Source organism: Homo sapiens, chromosome 13 (genome assembly GCF_000001405.40).
Source record: "Homo sapiens chromosome 13, GRCh38.p14 Primary Assembly".
Classification (NCBI taxonomy): domain Eukaryota; kingdom Metazoa; phylum Chordata; class Mammalia; order Primates; family Hominidae; genus Homo; species Homo sapiens.
Genome location: NC_000013.11, coordinates 98,858,841 through 98,880,436, shown reverse-complemented (window position 1 = coordinate 98,880,436; position 21,596 = coordinate 98,858,841). Strand labels below are relative to the sequence as shown.

Here is a 21,596-nt window from a genome sequence, read left to right as displayed (position 1 = left end):
CTAAAAAGGGGTAGTGTTCTCTGATACCAACTTTTCTAATTGTGTCTTGAGAGAAGAGCTGCAAAACACCACTGTGTTCAGTGTTGGCTCTTGAGGATTAATAGTCATTATGTTCAAATCAGTGATGAAGGTCTATGACTTAGAGATTCTAAAGACAAGTGTCACCAAGCAGAGGGCAGTGAAGGGGAAAGACTACACCCGTAACCCCACAGAGCCTCGTGCTGGTTGTGCCACGCTGAGCACAGGTGTCCAGTTTCCCGGCAGGATGCAGCTCTTTGTTGCTAAACTTGTGCAAGCAGAAGACATCTGCCATTCACCGTTGGCTCTGATCATAATGTGCCAAGAGGTGCAGCCGTGTTTTAGGGTCACACCTGCTTTATGTCAATAATATTGTCAGCCTGAGAGAGTTCATGTCTTACCTACCAGTTTGTTGTGTTCTTACTGGGTCCTGTTCTTTTTTCTTTTAGTACTCATGGTTTTTCTTTGATGTACTGATCAAATCTATGGCTCAGCATTTGATAGAGAACTCCAAAGTTAAGGTATGTTACTTCAAGTGGAAGCTTGTGTTCTTAGGGGAAAAGAAATCTCTTTCATTGCTTTGTAGTGAACGTTTCTTCATGCTTTCTCTGTGCCAGTTACAGGACTGTTCTAAGTGCTTTACAAGTAATAAATCATTTTAGCTTCATAACAACGCTTTGAGGAAAGTACTGTTCTTACCTATTTTATAGATGGGGAAACTGAGGCCAGCATGCTTGAGTTACTTGCTCAAGGTCATGCTACCAGTGAGTGGAGCAGCCAGGTTTTGAGTCCAGTCTGGCCCCAAAGGTTGTATTCCTGAATCACTTGGTTATTAACCTAAAGAAAAATATGTCTTTTCCTTTGATTAGCTTAGAAATCTTCACGTTTGTTGAAATGGAAATTGTGGTTTCAGCATAAATTCTAAGTGTCATTACCCATGATTTATTAAGTGTCTTGACCGTCATAGACATTTATTCTTAGATGGGAGTATCTCACCAATCTCATGTTCTCCAAAAGCAATCAACAGACTCTGAGATTATCCATCTCGTTGGGGCAGATGCGCAGTCTCAAATTTCTTCTCTGCCCCAGCATCCCCTTGTGGTGAAGCCTGGATGTGTGTTCCTTTCTGACCGTGGGTCCCCCCTGCTTCCCCTGGTTCCCACTGCACTCAGCCCTGAGATGACTGGTCTTGTCTCTGGACTGGTGCCCACTGAGGTGTGTTTGGCCACCTCAGGCTCTCTGAGGCTCAAGGTAGATAAGTTTCTATAAAGTTCCAATGTAGTAAACAGAAGTGGCAGTGTCACTTTCTCATTTTGAAGTTTCCAGGGCTCCTCTGAGACCTGCAGAGTCCTGGAGTTGTCCTTGTGACAGTGAAGTAGTGTAGTTGTTTGGAGGCAGGGTCTGGTTGAAGTATTATAGAAGGAGCTTGTGCAGGGAGCGGGTGGTGCTGGGTCCTGTCTCACAATGAACACTTGTGCTGCAATCCTTGTAGGCAGGAGAGGGGATAGGGAGGGAGGGGCAGAATCTAGGCCTCCTGCACAAGGGATCTGGGCTCTCCGAGGAAGCCTTGGAAAAGCCTGCTAGATTTTGCTGGCAGAAGGTTGATGGTTCAGGCCTAAAGCCCTCCTTTTCCTCCCGTAAAGCAGACACTGGGCCTGGCCAGGTGGTTTCTCCTTTTCTTTTTTCTGTCTCTCTCTTTTGAATCCAGTTTAGAGCTTCTGATTTTAGTGCATAGGGAGATGCCAGATGGAAGTGGGCCCTGCCTTCTACAGAGAAATGCTCCATCTAAATCATGCCAGAGCAGCCTGCCAAGGAAAAATCTAGCAGATTGTCTGCTTGGCAGTATGCAGCTAAGTGTGCGTGCACATGCACACGCAGACACACACATCATGTAGATATATTACTTTTCTGTAAAAAAAAATGTTGTCTTACTGATATGTGGGAGCTAAAAAAGTGGATTGGATGAAGATAGATTGGTGGTTACCAGAGACTGGGAAAGAAGGGGAGGAGGTGATGGGGGAGAAAAAGAATATGAATGTGTTTATTACCACTGAACTGTACACTTAAAACTGGTAAAGATGGTAAATTATACATTTTTTCATGTTATATACAGAATAGGATTATAGCCTGTGTTCATTTGCTAGGGTTGCCATAATAAAGTACCACAGACTGGGTGGCTTAAAAAATAGAAATTTATTTTATAACAATTGAGATGCTGAAAGTCCTGGGTCAAGCTGTGCACATGGCTGGTTTCTTCTGAGGCCTCTCTCCTTGGCTTGTAGATGCAGCCTTCTGTGCGCGTCTGTGTCCTAATCTCTTCTTAGGAGGACACCAGTCATACTGGATTAAGAACCACCTTAATGACTTCACATTACCTTCATCAGCTCTTTTAAAACCTTGGCCCAAAGTGCAGCCATATTCGGAAGTGTTAGGGGTTAGGACTTCAACATATGAATTCGAGGGGGGCACAGGTCAGCCCATGACGAGGCGCCAGTGGATTTTTTATTATTTTTGGCTCTAAATAAACGTCATCCCTTAAATGCAATGGTAACGTGATTATATTCAAAATATAACCAATTCATTCTGCAACTATTCATTGAGCCCCTACTATGTTTGAGGTGCCAAGGATTACAAAGTTCAATGCATCACAGTTTTTGCCCTCAAGGAGTTCAGGTGGGAAGGTGTGCATTTCGTTCAGTGGCTGCCCTACCTCATGACGAGTGCTCTGAAGAGGTAGGAACAAAGTGCTCAGTAGTGTGGGGAATCTGGGAAGACCACCTGGAAGAGGCATCAGTTGCAGTGGGTTCTGATGAGTAAACAGGAGTTGGCTAGGTGAAGAAGGAGAATGAGGACCAGGTGGAGAGAGAGTGGTTTTGGCGGAAAGCTTAGGACCCAGCACCACAGTTCAGGGAACTACATGAACATAAGGCTTTTCTGCCTTATGACTGCAAGGAAGACCACGTGAAAGATGGTCAGGGAGGTAACGAACACTTCCAGGAATACATACAAGGATATTCAAAATCAAGCGCCAGTGACACCTTTCTGAGAATTGCATTAGAAAATAAGTAAAGGAATTTACTTGCATGTGTTTGTTCTCAAGATGCCAAATTAAACCATAGCACTTTAAGGGTGGTAATGACCTGAAAGGTATCTTCTGTTCCAGCTCCTCCCTTACCTCACAGAGGTAGAGACAGAAGCATAGACTGTGAAGTGACCTGCCCAGGGTCACACAACTGAGCAGAGCCAAGAACTTGTGGCAGAGTCCCAGTGGGCCTCTCCTAGAGGTGCTGCCATTTCCAGCCTTATAACATGATTTGTCAACACCTTTGCTCTGGGAAATGGTTTGTTTTTGGAACTTAACACAAACCACTCAAATGCTACCATGCACAACCTTTTCTGTAAGTTAATTATATTTTGACCCTAAAACAATATTCAGAGAGTTTTTAGAAGTAGTTTTTTGTTTTTTAAGTGCTTAAGTGGAAACTCTGGTATCCCACAGGAGAAAGCTTAACCATAACATAATTTACTATAAAAAGAGATTCACAAACACCTGCTTACCACCTTGAGGGTTCAACATTTTCACTTTTAGAGCACTCCTCTCTGGCTTCTGCTTCCCTGGCCCTGCAGACACCCTGCTGTTCTTTGCCCTAATCACACATTATTGAGCTGAGAGCTCCTCTAACATTTTCTTAAAGCCTTCATTCAGTGTGTCTCGTATCTTAAGAGTAATGAGTTTTCTGTTTGAATTAGTTGTTTTTGTGTTTGTCTTATTTACATCTGAAGAATTTTATGTCCTAATTCTTTGTTTTAGTCTTCTGAATTTATGAATATTCACCATTCCTGTACCATTTGTGATTTCCAAAACTTTGATCTCATCCCCTTAGGGTTTTTAATATTTTTAGACCAAAATTATTAATTTATTCTGACCTTAATATTTTTTGCTCTTGTTGCCCAGGCTGGAGTGCTGTGACGCAATCTGGGCTCACTGCGACCTCCACCTCCTGGGTTCAAGCGATTCTCCTGCTTTAGCCTCCCAAGTAGCTGAGATTACAGTCATGCGCTACCACGCCCAGCTAATTTTATATTTTTAATAGAGACAGGGTTTCACCATGTTGGCCAGGCTGGTCTCGAACTCCTGACCTCAGGTGACCCACCCACCTTGGCCTCCTAAAGTGCTGGGATTACAGGCGTGAGCCACCGCGCCCAGCCAAGGGAACCTTTCTTGAAGTGTCATGACGAGGCACACACCAGTGTTGTAGGAGCACCTGGGCCCTGGATTCATAACAGCCAGATAGTGCTTTCAGTGCCAATTAAAGTGTTCTACTCAAGGATAGCTACACATGCATGTTGTGTATTAAGCTGATGCTTTCAGTGTACAATTTATGTCATTCTTGGTGGTAGTCGAGTGAGTCCATTCAATGCATATTTACATGGAGGGACATGGCACAGCGTTATGCTTACTTCCAGTGCTGCACTCCTGCTGAAGGTGGAAGTGGCCATGTTCTTGTCCCCAGCCAACCAAACTGTACATTGTTACATTTACTGAGGAAGGGTGTGAATCAGAACCCCTTCGAACTAGCATCTAAAATAAGTAATTTCCTTACTACAGCGGATGGACCTGCAAAGTATGGATGGATTGTGTATGACTGTGCCAGACTCTAGTTTCATAGGTGACATGTACTTGGAGGGTACAAGTGATATTTGAGAAAAATGTAAAGCAGACATCATCAAGGTCTGTGGAGGAGTCCTCTCCTCACTCTCTGCCCCTATGGTCAACAGTTTGTTGGTGTTTCTTTTCCACCATGTATATTTAGCAGCTGTAATTTCAGCAGACTGCTTTTGCATTTCCTTTCCTCCCACATGGAGTGAAGCACATTGCTGGCATTCCACAGGTATACTGGAAGAAAGGAGGTTGGAAAACCTAGCATAGGGTAGGATGAATATATGCCCTTAGACATTGCTTGTTTAACCTCCAACCATTTTCTAGCTAAATTGAAAAAGAAAAGAACTGTTTTTGAAAGTGAAAGAAGGAGGGTGTGGCTCATAGTCTGAATGGACTGTTTGGACTTCCCCTTAACCAAATTTGTAAACACTATACATATGTGATAGGTAGAATGCTAGTATGCATTCTACCAGTATGCTAGTATGCATTCACCCTCAAGTGTTTTGAACAGTTGTTTGTAATGTGCAAAGCATTGAGGAAAAATGCAAATGGAGTTGAGAGTGAACCCTTAACCTTGAAGCTCACCTAGTCACTGGAGAAAGAAAACGTTCAGCTTGGAACATTTAGAGCAGTGTGCAGGAAGGTGCATATGTGAGCTTCAAGAATCATAGATTTATGTGGGGATACAGTTGGAACTTTACCTGGGCCTTGCAGGATACCACAATCTAGGGATAGGAGAATGAGTACCAGGCAGAGGAAATAGCTCAGGCCCAGGTAAGGCCGCTGGGGCAGAGTTCAGGCTGGATAGATTGAGATTAGAGGGGAAAGAGTGAAAAACAAGATTAGCTCAGAAACAAAGATGAGATTATGGGGAGCTGTGAAGCCAAGCAGCAGATGAACTGGTAGAGACCTAGAGAGGTACAGTAGGTTCTTTAGTAGGAGTGGCGAGATGACAGAGAGTATAAAGATTAGCAGAGTGGCTTGGAAACTTTTATATCAATAAGTCTGCTTATCCCCTGAAGTATAAATAGCCTGTGGAACAGATTCACCAGACATTTTAAATTTTGATTTATTTATTTGTTTAGCTCTCTAACTGCAATAATATGAAATGACATTTTATGGTGATGCTGATGAAGATCTGGCATTGGGAGGATAAGGTGGGATTGAGGATGAGGATGGAGAGCATTATGAATGAGTAAGGGAGATTATTCAGACAGAACCATTCATTCAACCCTGCAGTTCCACGTCTAGATATCTGCTGAAGAGAAATGAAAGATGTATCCATGTAAAGACCTAAATGCAAATGTGCACAGTAGCTTTATTCATAATAATCAAAAACTAGAAACAACCCAAATGACCATCAGCTGGTAAATGGATACACAAATTGTGGTAACTCCACACAATAGAATGCTACTTAGTAATAAAATGGAACAAAGTAGTGAGTCATGCAACAGCATGGTTGGATCTCAAAAGCATTCTATGAACTGAAAGAAGTTAGACACAAAAGACTACATACCATTTGGGTCCATATCCTGTATATGACATTATAGAAAAAGAAAAACTACAGAGCGCAGAGCAGCCCCGTGGTTGCCCAGGACTGGAGGTGGGGATGGGGACAACAGATGTACTTTCTCTTCTTGACTGTGGTGATGGTTACAGTTATATTCACTTGTCAAGACTCACCAAACTGTAGACTTTTAAAGTCTGAATTTTATGGTATGTAAATTATGCCTCAATAAACCTGACTGAAACAAAACAGAGCACAGTAAGGTCAGACTTGAGTGGGGGAAGAAAGGCCACCTAGATATTGAGCGTGAGATCATAGAAGAAGGAGCTTTTGAGAGAGGCAGTAGAGTAGAGGGCTTGGTTTACCAGGGAAGGTGCAAGGTTAGCCTTGGGATGTCATATGCTTAGGGCTGTGGGTTCAGTGGCTATGACAGAGACCTGAAGTAACAGTGAGTTAAACAGGAAAGTAAAAGTTTATTTCTTTTTACTTGAAACCCCAAGCTCATAAGAGGCTTCTGTTCCACAGTTATGAGAGGCCTCCATCTTGTTTGCCCCCTGGAGTGCTGCTCCTCCTTTTGATCTAACTGGGTTCACCACCACATCCATGCTGGAGCCAGTAGGGAGGGGAAGATGCACCTTTCCTTTTAAGGATATGACCCAGAAGTTGCACTGCCACATCACTACCACTGCTATCGCATTGGCCAGAGTTAGCCATGACGGTACCTAGCTGCAAGGGATGCTGGTAAATGTAGTCTTTACTTTGGGTATCCATGAACCTAGTTAAAAGTTGAGGTTCTATTACCATGAGAGGGAAGAGAGAACAGATACTGGGAAGTCACCAGCCATTGTTTCACAAAGGGCTGAGGCATAGCCAAACACATTTCCAGTTGGCAGGTGAAGGTTCAGCCTGGGACAGGGAAGCGAACAGACAGAACTAAAGAAATAGATTTGTGAGTACCAATCTGCTGAAACCATAAGCCTAAGCTTTTCTCTGGGGAAAAGGACTGTGTTGATCTGAGTCAACAGATAGGAGTAGTCATGCTTGAGACTTATTGGGGCAATGACTACAAGGGAAAATGGGAAGGCGCTCAGGAGACAGTGGGAGAGCCATCAGAGGGCAGCACATGTGTGACCCAAGGTTAAGAAGAGAGAGAAGGAAGGAAGCGTCTTGGGCCACAGTGGAATTCTAAGTAAGAGAGGTGAGCAAGGCATTGGAGAGGCCTCAAGCCTCCTCCTCAGTCATCAGTGGAGTCCCACATCCCCCAGCAACAAGCCTGCTGCAGCTTCCTTTCCACCCTCAGTCACTGGCAGGGAGCAGCCATGTGAGGCATGGAGGCACGGGTGGCCTTGGTACAAATGCAGCTGTAGATTCCACAGCATAGTGGTGGGGCCAGGAGTTAATTATGTTCCCTGCAACTGAAGATGTGAGGTGCCATTCTCATTGTGTCAGCAGGGCAGAGAGTGAGGTAAACATGCAGATTATAGAGAGAAGACTGATCTTTGGGAATGAAAATGATGAAGAGGTAGGAAGAATGGAGTTTGTAGGCTGGGCGCAATGGTTCACATCTGTAATCCCAGCACTTTGGAGGCCTAGGTAGGAGAATCGCTTGAGCCCAGGAATTCCAGACCAGCCTGAGCAACATAGTGAGACGTCATCTCTGCAAATGTGAACAAAATTAGCTGGGCATGGTGACACATGCCTGTTATCCCGGCTACTCAGGAGACTGAGGTGAGACGATTGCTTGAGCCCTGGAGGATGAGGCTACAGTGAGCTGTGATTGTGCCAGTGCACTCCAGCCTGGGCGACAGAGTGAGACCTTGTCTCAAAAAAAAACAAAAAACAAAAACAAAAACAAAACCAAGTTGTAGAAGAAAATAGGAGAAAGAGGAAATAACATAGGGATCTTGATAAAGGGGAGTAACCAGAATGCAGGGAAATGTCATTGGTAAATTTCTTCTCAGCCCCATTACTTTTGTTGTTTGCTAAGCCACAAAGAGAAAGTTTCTTAATTAAAAGTCTTATTTACGTCGGAAAGCAGTAAAATAGCCCATAGAGAAGAGGCCTCTAAACCACACCAGAGAGTGGAAGAACACAGTGCAGAACAAAGAAGTGAACATTTGAAGACCATTCCGAAGTCCTCACCCATGAAGCAATGATTGGGCAGCACAGCTGTGGGAGAGCAGATGACCTGTAGGGCGGGGAGTAGCCCATCCTGGGTCTCTACGAAGACCTGGCTGTTAACCGCAGCGTCCACAGGGGCCTCCACAGCCAGGCTGAGTGTGGGTCTTCAGGGAGATCCCGTTCATTCGAGGAGTCAGTTGGTAGGCGCTGAGCAGCCAGCGGGCAGCACATAAGTGTGGCTCGCAGAGGATGGGGGCATGGCATCCCGCATGTGGCTAGAGAGGCTGATCTTGTGAGGACAGGTGCTGGGCTGGCTGACCCCACACAGGCAGCACCTGTCAGGTGGTGCCAGGACAGAAAGGGATGCTGCAGTGCAGCGCAGCACACGGCAAGAGATCCTCCAGCAGGACGTGGCAGGGAGTTGAGGTTGGTTTGGCTGAGAAGTCCCTTAGTGTCTCAGCGTCCTCTTCTCCAAGCCTCTATCAGGTACTCACTACCTGAGCATCATCTTAGATTTTCCTCTTCTGTTTCAGTTTATAGTAATCTCCATAAAAACATTCTATTGCTTAGGTCTTCATTACCTTGAAATGTGTATGATACCTCGTAAAAAGACTTTAGTTTGTTTTATTGACAATTAGGACTCTTAACAACAGCTATTTGCCACTGCAGGGAGAACTTCATTTCAGCCTTCACAGGCATGAGTTGTCATTGCCTAGTCACTGAACAGCACTAATGATGGGTTGGTATGTAAATTATCCATCATTCTTCTCCATGTATTCTTTCTTTTTAATACAAACATTTTACTATATTTTCTAATAAGTGCAGAAGTAGAGGGATTAGCCTCCCCACTTGTCAATGTTCTACTGCCCTTGCTTGATACATACCCACCCTCACATTTTTACCTTGTAGTATTTTAAGCCGTTCCCAGCTATTTTCTCACTCCATCTTAGACACTTTTAGCATGTCATCTCTAACAGATAAGCCTTTAAAAAAGATATAACTACCAACATCACACCACACAAAATTAGCAAAACGTCTTTATTATCATCTAACACCCAGTCTATATTCAGTTTTCCCCAGGTGTCTCAAAAATGTCATCCTATAGTTGGGTTTGTCTGCTTCCGGATCTAAACAAAGTTCACACCTTGCATTTAGTTGCTGTGTTTCTGAGGTTTCTTTGATTCTTAAACTGTTCTCTTTTCATCTGTTTGGACTTTTTTTTTTTTTTTGGCAACATATTTGTTGAAGAAAGTGGGTCATTTGTCCAGCAGAATTCCCCACAGTTTAGATTTGGCTGATGGTAGCCTCACCGTGTTACATACGTGGTTCTCTGCCCCGTGTTCCCTGTGAACTTGTGGTTGGATCTAGAGACTTAATTTGATTCAGGTTTGATTTTTTTTCTGGCAAGGATACCTCATAGCTGTTACTATTGCATCACATCAGGAGGCATATATACCCAGCTGTTCTACTTTTAGTTATAATAATGTTGATTAATAGGTTTACATGGTGCCCACTCAACCTGTCCATGATAGAGTTCTCCATCTACTTTTCCTGGTTTTAGCAGCCATTGACTCAGCCCCATTGTGAAGGCCACAAGCATTTCTTGGGATACCTCTTTTTCAGGAGTGGCCAGCTTGGGTAGTTAGCAGTCATGCCGGGGGTTAGAGTTGGCCTTGCCTGCGGTCTTGGAAATTGGTCATCTATTGATGCTGTCATCTCAGGATATAGAGTTATTGGTGGCACATATGCAACAAAATCCCTTTGGAATTTCACATTTTGCCATTCTGTTTTTTAAAGTTGGTGAGCTTCACATTTTTGTTACTGATCCTTTCCTCATTGGATTCTTGACTCTATGTAAGGTTATAAACATTTCCTCGTTATTGGTTTGAGAATTGAAATTGTTATAAAGCTGGTATTTCAAATATTCCTAATAGGTTCTGGCATTTAATGCATAATATAATGCCTGCTGTCATGTCAGAAATGTCTAGGTTGCAGTTCCCAGTTTTAGAAAATACTATTTGTTTGATATTGGGACATTGGTTTGGCTGCTCAAAAACAGGCCATAATAATAGTGGTTTAAATTCGACAGAAGGTTCATTTCTCTCTTGGACAATCATGAGTTGGTAGGCAGTTTGGAGAACAGGGCAGCTAGTTCCCCAAGATCATTCAGTGACTCAAGCTCCTCCAATCCAGTTATCCAGCCTGCGATGTTCACCTCATCCACGTGGCTGAGAAGCTGGCTCACTGCCACAGCACAGTCCAGGCAGTGGCACAGGAAGGAACAAGGGAGGCCAGCGGCTCCTTTTAGGAGCATGGCCTAAACAAGGCACGCATCCCTTCCATAATTTGGTCATGTGGCTCATACCTAGTGGTAAGTTAGACTGGAAAATATAGTCTGGCTGGGCAGCCATGTGTCCCTGTAAAACCATTACTCTTCAGTTACTAAAAGGAGGAAGACAAGGACAGTTTTATTAAAGGTCAGTTAGTACTTTTTAGTGAGCTCTCTAAGCCTCAGTTTTCCTGTCTGTAAAATGGGGATGAAAATACCCCCCTCTTGTGGCTGTTAGAATTAAATGCATGAATGGATCAATGTAATGGAGCATCCTTCCTACTTCAGGCTCTCAGTAAATTATTCTGTTTATAGACACAGGGGAAGTGCAGCTTCATGTAACAGAAAATGCCCAAGTTTTGGATTCTGTGGTAGACCTGGGTCTGAATCGTTGTTGTTAGTTGTGTGACTGAGGACACATGTACCTAACCTCTCTGACCCTTTAACAAATGAGGATTAAACTTATAGGGGTATTACAAGAATTGAATGAAAAAGTACATACAAATATGTAGTGCAGTGTCTGACATGTAGAAGATATACATAAGTGTTAGCTAATTGCTAAGTAATCTGAGTGTAATTTTGTAGGTTCCTGTTGGGGAAAGATTACTGTGTAAAGTTGATTGTGAGAAGACTGCTGCCAAGCAGTTTTAACTAATCATGCACGGTCATCAAAATCCGTATTTTCAGTTTGAATATTTGGAGCTTAAATGTAAGCCAGTGCTTTCTAAAGAGATCTCTGAGAGGTACAGGCATCAGAATCATCAAAGATGCTCAGTAAAAATGCAGGTTCTTGCCCCTTCTCCCTGCACCCGCTGCCAGGCTCCTGAATCAGAATCTTTGGGAATGGATGCAGAAGCTCCACCTTTTTACAAACACTTTTTAGGTGATCTTTATTACGCTGAAGTTTGAGGTTCCAGTTTTAATCCACAGCACTTATTTGAAGTATTTGAACACTTTCACAGTACTTTGAAAGAAGGAGGGTTAATTCATTTTTTCCAATTTCAGATAAACAAGACTAGGACTCTGAGGTTTTATGGGGTTTTTTGAGACTGGGCCTTGCTTTGTCACCCTGGCTGGAGTACAGTGGCTGATCTTGGCTCACTGCAGCCTCAGACTGCTGGGCTCCAGCAATCCTACCACCTCAGCCTCCTGAGTAACTGGGACTACAGGTGCATACCACCACACCCACCTAATTATTGTACAGATGGAATCTTGCTATGTTGCCTGGGCTGGTCTTAAACCCCTGGGCTCAAGTGATCCTCCCAACTTGGCTTCCCAAAGTGCTGGGGTTACAAGTGTGAGCCACAGCACCCAGCTAGAAACTCTGGGTTTTTTAAGATGGACTCAGGGATGAGATATTTTTTCCTCCCAAATGATTGCAACTTAATAAATAATAAATGTTTGCTCTGAATTCTTTTTAGTTGCTGCGAAACCAGAGATTTCCTGCATCCTATCATCATGCAGTGGAAACCGTTGTAAATATGCTGATGCCACACATCACTCAGAAGTTTCGAGATAATCCAGAGGCATCTAAGAACGCGAATCATAGCCTTGCTGTCTTCATCAAGGTGGGGACCTCCAGGGAAGAGGATATCAGTTATGGGACAAAGATGTGCTTTTTACCAGCTGTCTAGCAGGGTGACTAGAATAGAGTAGGTGCTCTGGCAATGTTGATGGCATGTTTTTTATGTCAGTGGATAAACTTATTAGCAATAAATGCTGCTTTGAATCCAAATTTCCGAAATGTTTGGACCTGAAATAACTTTTTTGCTTGTTTTCCTCCACAGAGATGTTTCACCTTCATGGACAGGGGCTTTGTCTTCAAGCAGATCAACAACTACATTAGCTGTTTTGCTCCTGGAGACCCAAAGGTAGTGCGGGGGTTGTTACTGGTAACAGAAGTCACCATGTAGCCTTTCTCTGGTAGAATTATCTTTTTCCTTTTTTTTTTTTAAAGCTCTGCCTTACTAATTTTTTTATTGTATTGAGCCTGTGTCTGTAATTATAAGCTACCTGAAGTCCTTCATTGAAGTAGGAGGAGCCCTAAAAATCAATTGAAGACATTGTTTATTGAAATGTGTCCTTAGTTTTCAAATCAATCCCTGCAGCCATCCTGAAATCTGTACAGTGCAATAGAGTGTGCAGTTCTAAGAAGGTCAAGAAGCTAATGACTATTTCTAGCATACTATTGCTAATAGGTTTTTTAGAATCCTGTATAAAATATCCAGTGAGGTATTTATGACTACACACTTCTTCCTGCAGACCCTCTTTGAATACAAGTTTGAATTTCTCCGTGTAGTGTGCAACCATGAACATTATATTCCGTTGAACTTACCAATGCCATTTGGAAAAGGCAGGATTCAAAGATACCAAGGTAATCCATCTTTATTTCTATTAACCTTTTCACAAACAGAGACATTTATTTTCAATAAGAAAAGATAATTGATTCAAACATGATATTTGAATTTTCTGATTTTTTTCATTGATGAATTAATTTTTTTCTTATGAAATTTCCATTTCAAAAAGTATTGGTAAAATATGGGAACTTACTTTTCAGCAAACTTATCAGACTACAGATCATGCCAGTATGGCTATTTCATTGAAAAATCCCTTTGCTTAAAGAAAAGGAATCTATTTCAGTTGCTATAGCTTATTTTTATTTGTTTCACTTTTCCTTTTTTCTTATGAATTAGCTTTTCTTTCACCAACTGTGGAGTCAAATGACACTCCTGTAGGTAGGTGTGGGGTATGACGCTTGCTTTCTTGCATTTTCCTCCTCTAAAAAATAAAGAATGCAAGTGATGGCTGAACTGCTTCCATATGCTGTTCTGTTAAGTATTTCCTATATAATTTGATCAATTTTTAAACTTGCCATAAATTAGTGAATTTTTTCACTGGAACTAAGACATTGCTGTAACATCCCAGGGAGGCATCCGGTTTTTTGCTCCTGAAGTCACTGGGTACTCTAGGATGTTTCTTTAAGAAGTAAAACAAACATCCCTGCTTCACCCCCAAAATTCATTATTCTACTATTTTCATAGCCCTTGTCCATAGTGGTGGCAGTAATCAAAATCACAAGCAATGTGGCTTTTTTACATGCTTTTAATGTTTGTATGTTGAGTCTTTATTAATGTCCTGTATTCTTTTTACGTTTGAAGAGAGTTGAGCTCATAGGGATGTCTTTGTCTTCACTGAGTAAATCAAATTGAACAAATTAGTCTGTCAGGTCTGTCAAGCAATAGCTCTTGAGCTTAATTCCTTGTATGTACTCAGGTATTTTGTGCTAAGGGAGAGAAAAAGTGGAAGGATGCCACCAAACTGCTAATGGCACCTGAATCAACTGCTTCTGAATTCCGAGAGAAACACACTAAGGCATTCATTCAGTCTGTTTCCCCCAAACAGACTGGTACTGCCTTTTAAGGATCAGGCAGGGGGACTGTGGCCCTGGAGTTGGCATTCATGCATTCAACAAATATTTACCCCGCACCAACTGTGTCGAGCTTCAGAATAAGTTGTGTACAACCTGGATGACAATCCCCGGCTATTCTACATACACCTGGATGACAATCCCCGGCTATTCTACATACACAAGATACATAGAATGTCAGACACTGATGCATCCTAAGGAGAACAAACAAAGCAAGGAAAGGGGATATGAAAAGGGGTGACATTTGAGACAGGGTGGCCAGATAACAGTTGGAAGAAAGTGAGGGGTGAGCCAAGCACCCGCATATCTGGGGGAGACTTTTTCTGGGCTGAGAGAACAGATAGGTATTCAGTGTCCCCTGATCTAACCCTGGCCCCCCACCTCTGTGGTCTCACACCCCCCTATTCTGCACATTCCAGGCATCCCTGCCAACTCCCAGCTCCTCAAACATATCATGCCACCCCTCCACCTCAAATAGCCCCCTCCCTGGGGAATCCTCATCTTCCTCCCCAAGCCAGCCACTCCACACCTCCTGCATGGGGCCTCCCAGGGTCTCCTCACTCTCTTCCACTTCCTCAACTGGAATTAACCACTCTTTCCTGCCCTGTGCCCCCAACCTCACCACAGCCTCCCTCAGCCCAGTCTCCTGTACCTGGGGACTCTCCTTCCTTCCACCTGGTACAGAGCCCAGGGAGCTCTTTTTGCCCAGTGGCTGTGTAGTGAATGTGTGCTGATGCCCATCTCCCCATGACCCAGCAGGGCAGCACAAGCTCTTATAGACTTCTAGGGTATTTGGTAGCAAGACGGGCTTCGCTCAGTCGATGGGGGGATATATGGGAGTAATTTGCCTTACTACACTGACAGGAATAAATGTTTTTTAGAATTTTCATTTTCTTTCTTCTCACTTACCTCCCACCCCTGCCTTCACCTCCTTTCTTGTGTTAGTCTATTCGTGTGCTATAAAGGAATACATGAGACTGGGTAATTTATAAAGAAAAGAGGGCCAGTGCAGTGGCTCGCACTTACAATCCCAGCACTTTGGGAGGCTGAACTGGGAGGATCACTTGAGCCTAGGAGTTCGAGATCATCCTGGGAAGCATAACAAAACCCTGTCTCTACAAAAAAACAGAAACAAAAATTAGCCTGATGTGTTGGTACACATCTGTAGCCTCAGCTACATGGGAGGCTGAGGTGGGAGGATGACTTAAGCCCAGGAGGCAGAGATTGCAGTGAAATCTGCAATCTAGGCAGATTATGCCACGGCACTCCAGCCTGAGCAACAGAGCAAGACCCTCTCTCAAAAAAAATAAGAAAAGACATTTATTTTGGCTCACAGTTTTGCAGTTTGTACAAGAAGCATGGCGCCAACATTGGCTTCTGGTGAGGCCTCAGGAAGCTTCCAATCATGGTGGAGGGCAAGGGGGGAGCCAGCATGTCACATGGCGAGAGAGGGAGCAAGAGACGAGGAGTGAGGCGCCACACTCTCGTAAACAACCAGATCTCGCATGAACTCAAAGCGAGAACTCACTCATTATGGCAAGGAGGGCACCAAGCCATTCATGAGGGATTCGCCCCCATGACCCAAACACCTCCCACCAGGCCCCACCTCCAACACTGGGGATCACATTTCAACATGAGATTCAGAGGGGACACACATCCAGACCATGTAATTTCTCATGCACATTCATACACACAACCATAGATGTGTGAGCACACTCCCAGTTAAACCATAAGTAGTTTCTTCCAAGAGACATGTGAACTCAAGCTATGACTTATAGTTTTGATAAACTAGGTGAAATAATCATAAACAATGAACATAATCTAGAAAATGAATACTCTCCCCCTTCTATTAAAGGGTTTCATAGAACTTGGGCCCATATTTTGGCTAGATTTAGGAGTAACTGTCTGATAGGGGACAAAAGGCAAAGGGAGAGGTCTATAGACTTTCCTTTAATAATGGAGTCAGTCTGACAATTCACAACCTAGCTTCAGCTTCCTGAAATTGTATTTTATCTTCAGAGTGATGTTTAGCTGTTTTTATGTACCCTTCCTAAGTAGAGTTCATGTTTGCTCCTATCTGTTTTCCAGAAGAGCTCTCAGTTTTGTCATTTAGCTTGCTGGTGATTTACCAGTTTGGTTTGATGCTTTGTCCACTTCAATTTTAGTTTATATTAAATTTGTATTTGTTTTCAGAGGTGGAGAAATATTAGGAGAATAGCTTAGGAAATACTGCATTAAATAAGTTCTTCATTCAGGGATAGCAGAATAAGTAGGTTATATATTAATTTGTTTATCTTAAATCCACTGGGTTTTAATGGAGTATATAGACATTAATGACCAGGAAAGGAATATATGAACTCATGTAATAACATTTTAATGAGCCATGTATGTTTATTATTTAATTACATGTTTGTTATGCACAAACTGCTCTTATACAGTTCTGTTAGCTAGTATAATAACGTTTTTAACTTTGTCAATAACAAACTTATATTTGTAATATAACATATGCTGTGTTCTAGTCTAAAAATTGGTACTTAAACTGTTCACTAATTTAATTATGTAGGATGCAATATGTTCCAAAATCCAGTGCACTTAATTGTATTTAAATTTGGTTTTCATTTAAGATCCTCCTGTGCTAAGAAGTAGAGCAGCCTTGTAGAATTGATTCTTTCTCATTTGAAGCCAAGTCTGATCATCTCTTGACACCCAGGGTGGGCTGAATGCAGAGGATGGGTCTTAGTTTTTTTTGTTTGTTTGTTTGTTTGTTTTATTCAAAGAGCATTGCATCTTTCCTAACTCAAGTAGTTTCTATCCTCATTTCAGACCTCCAGCTTGACTACTCATTAACAGATGAGTTCTGCAGAAACCACTTCTTGGTGGGACTGTTACTGAGGGAGGTGGGGACAGCCCTCCAGGAGTTCCGGGAGGTCCGTCTGATCGCCATCAGTGTGCTCAAGAACCTGCTGATAAAGCATTCTTTTGATGACAGATATGCTTCAAGGGTGAGTGGTCCCCAATGGAAGGAATGTGCATTGATAATGTCCTTTATTTTAAGTGGTGTAAAGAAAGTAATCAGTTAGAAAATTCATGGTAACAGCACTAAGATTTTGCTCTATTTTGGGACTAAAATCAAATATCTGTCTTTATAGGAAGGATCCAAATAAAGGAGATGGTCAGCACCAACTTAGTTCGGTTCTCAGAATCCTGGGTCAAACTTACCATGTGTGTCTTCTTTTCAGAGCCATCAGGCAAGGATAGCCACCCTCTACCTGCCTCTGTTTGGTCTGCTGATTGAAAACGTCCAGCGGATCAATGTGAGGGATGTGTCACCCTTCCCTGTGAACGCGGGCATGGTACGTAAGCATGGTCACATTAACTCAGCCTATATCAGGTCCCGGGGAAGCCAGGACAAAGCGCCATAAGCTGGGTGGCTTAGAGCAGCAGCAGTTTATTCTCTCCCAGTCAGGAGTCCAGAAGTCCAAAATCAAGGTGTCAGTGGGGTTGGTTCCTACTGGAGGCTCATGGGCCATGCTCCTCTCACAGCTGCTGATGCTGCAGGCAACTTTTGGTGCTCTCTGGCTTGTAGTGGCATCGCGCCAGTCTCTGCCTCTATCCTCACTTGGTGTTCGTTCTCCATGGTGTTTGTGCCTCTGTGTCCCTCTCTTCATTTTTTTTTTTTTCCCCAAGATAAGTCTTGCTCTGTTGCCCAGGCTGGAGTGCAGTGGCACAATCTGGGCTCACTGCAACCTCCACCTCCCAGGTTCAAGCAATTCTCCTGCCTGAGCCTCCCAACTAGCTGGGACTACAGGTACCCACCACCACATCCGGCCAATTTTTTTGTATTTTTAGTAGAGGCAGGGTTTCACCATGTTGGCCAGGCTGGTCTTGAACTCTGGAACTCTCCATCTGCCCACCTTGGCCTCCCAAAGTTCTGGGATTACAGACGTGAGCCACCGTGCCCAGTCCCCTCTCTTCTTCTTATAAGGACGCTAGTGATTGGGTTTAGGGTTCACCCAGTATAACCTCATCTTAACTTACATCTTAGATATATAATGGAAAGATCCTATTTCCAAATAAGGGTACATTCTGAAGTCCAGGTAGACATGAATTTATTGCGGGACACTATTCAACCCAGTACACACACCCCTTTATTTTGCCAGTGCAACTCCTGGTAAGTTGCATTTCTGGCTAAGATGGGGTCAGTCACTACACCTTCATTTCTTGTTAAAAAATAAGTATGAAAACCATGTTCTCGTGATGAACCAATGTCTTGTGAGGCCTCAGAATTTTCATTTGTATATTCACTAAAAATTTATGGGGGGAAGGAGACACAAAAAAGGTGTAGTTCTAACCTAACCTGTGTCCTGGAAGAGGTCATGGTAGCCCCAGTTATAACAGTAACGTGCTGCACAGTCTAAGAAAGGCCACCTCTGTGGGCTACAGTTTCTCTCCCTCTGTCAGATTAGAAGTGAGACTGGACATCAGGGATGCCAAGGTGAGGGACATGAGGCTCCACCTCCAAGAACTGACTGCCTTAATTTATATTATCTTTGTGCTGTTTTTTAAACATGCATTGGAAATTGAGTAGATAGAGAGATGACCCCAGAAATTATCTCAAAAGTTTTTGATTAGAGATGGTTTTGCTCTTTTTTACTCAGTCTCTGGTACCTTTCATATGATTGTTTTTTAAAAAGGATTCTTGGAATCATCTTGCAATTCAGCTTTTTCAAAGGTTTATCACTATCAAATTTCTTGTCACATTTCAGTTGCAAAAGGCTTTTTAAAGGTTAACCTATAATAATTTCTAATTAGTAAAGTTTATAAGAGTTTTACATCTAAAACCTGCACTCCTTCTCTTTCTGATGCTCTCTTCTTGGCCTCAGAGGGCTTATCTGCTATGAATTTCAGCAGATGTTATTTCAGCATTTCCCCTTTCCCTGGTACTTTGGACTCATGAACTGGCTTGGTTGTTCATCTTCCTACCTTGTCATTATGGGTGTACACTTGCAGAGTCTCATGTATGTTTCTGTCCCTCCGTCCCACCCCAACAGTGATGCAGTGTCCCATTTTTACACTACCTCTTCACCTCCAATTACATTCCTAAGTAACATTACACTGAGCTGAGCCGTGTGTATAGCGTTTGTGCATGTGTGGCTGCTCTAAAGGGCATGAACTCTCTCTATCCTAAGTGCACCTCGCTTATCTCACCCTGTACAACATTACATTTCACACTTGTATTCTCTAGCCCTGTCTGTTTTTCAAACCAGAGTAATTCAGAGTAGAATGTGACCTCCTTGAACTGTTTCAATCCTAACAAAAATGAACACTTTCACCAAAGTAAAATCCCGTTTTTTGACCTAACTTAAAAATTAATATGATTTCTCCACTGACTGAGAGTTCACATGATGCTACAAACATCTACAGTCATTGCTGCTGTTGTAATTCCCCGCATTACAGATAAAAGCCAGCATTCCAGTTAGAAAGAGCAGGGGAGGCTTTCTCTGAAGGAAAAAAACAAAACAAAACAATAATCTAAGGAAATGTTGGGCGTCCGAGCTCTGGAAAGGGAAAGGTGTTAGCAACGCTGGGGAAAGAGAAACAAGACTTTATGGAACGTGATTTCTCTCCCCCACCCCCACCCAGCATCCATATCCCATGCCCCCTGCTCCCCCTCTGACCCATCCCACCCTCCACCCTCACCCACGCCTCAAGGCTACTCCTCCCATGCAGGCAGGCACGTTGAATGCATCAGGCTGTCTTGGTCCTGCACTTGCCCTGGCACTTCCAAGAACAGGGGAGGAATCCTTTCCAGTCATCTTTGATTGTTTCTGCTTTCCTCTCCTTGACAGACTGTGAAGGATGAATCCCTGGCTCTACCAGCTGTGAATCCGCTGGTGACGCCGCAGAAGGGAAGCACCCTGGACAACAGCCTGCACAAGGACCTGCTGGGCGCCATCTCCGGCATTGGTAACGCTCCATGCTCTTGTGGGCTTCTCTCCACCATCACTCTGAAAGTGTCTTGGAGCCAATAGTTGGTGAACGTGTCACACTTGTGTGGTAGGACCTTGAAGTCTAAGTTGCTTTCCTGAGTATTCTTTTCCTGCTTGTGATAGTCAACAACTGAAACCCCTCAGCCATGCCCTGAAATAAAGGTCCCGGATGCCTGTGACTCCTCAGGATCATACAGTTAATCACTGGCTCACGCTGTTTGCTTTTTGTTCAACGTTTGTTGAGTTTTCATTTTAAATCTTAATTGGATTGTGTATACTGTTAAGGGATATTTTTGCAGGTGGTGGGGGGAGGGGAACACTGATTTGTAGTGTTAGCAATTTTGATGAAATATGACATAGTAATTCCAGAAGAACGTAGCAGTTTGTGGCTAGAATTCAGTGCTAAAATCAGTTCTCAAAAGTCTTCTGTCCCGCAAGACTTTTTCTGTGTGAAATAACAGAAGAGCGGCCACCTCTGAGAGAAAAACACGTGACACAAATCAAGATTCTAATAGTTTCTCCATAAGAAAATGCCGGACATAATGTACTTATTAATATTCTGACTAAATGAACGCCTGTGCTAGCTTTTCCTCAGAGATAGCAGTTTACATATATATATATATATATACACACACACACACACACACACACAAACACACATATCCTCCAAGAATTGTCACAGGTGCTCACAGCCTTCTTCAGTCTTTATTTCTCCCTGTCTTTATCACATTTTGAATAAAGAAAGCATCCTACTATGGCTAGTGGCTAGACTACCTAATAATGGGACTAATTCATGGGATAAAATAAATGGCAGCCTTTATCCAATTAACTCACAGGACTTGCCCACTCTGAGATTATGTCTTTACCTTTGCCGGTGGTGGTGGTGGTAATACGCCATTTCATGTAGGGGATGAAACTGGGTAGAATTTAACATGAGAAACCCCACACCAATGCCCAAATTTATCCTGCAATAATAATACCAGTCCTTAACCTGGTTGATATTTATGTGTCTTTTTCACAGTTATGCTCTCCTTAGTTGACACTGTAAAGATTAAAAGAGTTAATTCATGCAAAATGCTTGCAACAGAGCCTGGCACACGGTAAATGCTCAGCAAATGTTGGCTGCTGTCACGAGTTTCCATTTGCCTTTCTTCTGGGCCTTCACTCTGTCTCTGCCCTGCTTTGCCCCATTCCCAGCCACTGCTCCAGAAGCAGGGAGGGGACCTTCCTTAGAGGGTTTTGTCTGCAGTGGTTCACAGCACTAGCTTTAAAGTCAGACAGATGCAGCCTTGGATCTGGAATCGACCATTTACTAGTTACCATGGCAGGATGTTGTCTATCTTCTTTGCCCTCCATACCCATGTCTTCAAAACGGTCGTTAGAGGGATTAAGAGCTGATACAAAGTGTATGGTGGTTGGCAGAGAGGAGTCAGATGAGTGGAAACATCACTTCACTGTAACCTTGATCATTTCCACAAAGTTTTAATACTTCTGTTTGACTCTTTTGACTCTTCTCCAATTCAGAATTCACCTTGTTAGGA

The 21,596-nt window shown here is 43.1% G+C and overlaps 1 protein-coding gene across 43 annotated transcripts in view, besides 1 other annotated feature; it reads left to right on the top strand.

The window, feature by feature from the left end:
• The window catches only part of DOCK9 (dedicator of cytokinesis 9), a 295,191-nt gene that overhangs the window by 208,183 nt on the left and 65,412 nt on the right, over positions 1–21,596 (top strand). For 41 of the 43 annotated variants that reach the window (XM_047430231.1, XM_005254035.4, XM_006719937.4 and 38 more), the window contains exons 27-33: positions 468–539; positions 12,060–12,206; positions 12,426–12,509; positions 12,901–13,012; positions 16,889–17,067; positions 17,305–17,418; positions 19,915–20,032. In XM_047430231.1, coding sequence (XP_047286187.1) covers positions 468–539; positions 12,060–12,206; positions 12,426–12,509; positions 12,901–13,012; positions 16,889–17,067; positions 17,305–17,418; positions 19,915–20,032 — 826 coding nt within the window. Of the gene's footprint in view, positions 1–467; positions 540–12,059; positions 12,207–12,425; positions 12,510–12,900; positions 13,013–16,888; positions 17,068–17,304; positions 17,419–19,914; positions 20,257–21,596 lie in introns of those variants that run through there. The other 2 variants (NM_001130049.2, NM_001130050.2) reach the window with 1 other exon arrangement.
• Positions 4,904–4,963: an enhancer, noted in NCBI's record as "active region_7923". NCBI's record gives its function as "activates an Ori minimal core promoter by ATAC-STARR-seq in GM12878 lymphoblastoid cells {active_cell/tissue: GM12878}" and the evidence as "EXISTENCE:reporter gene assay evidence [ECO:0000049][PMID:35858748]".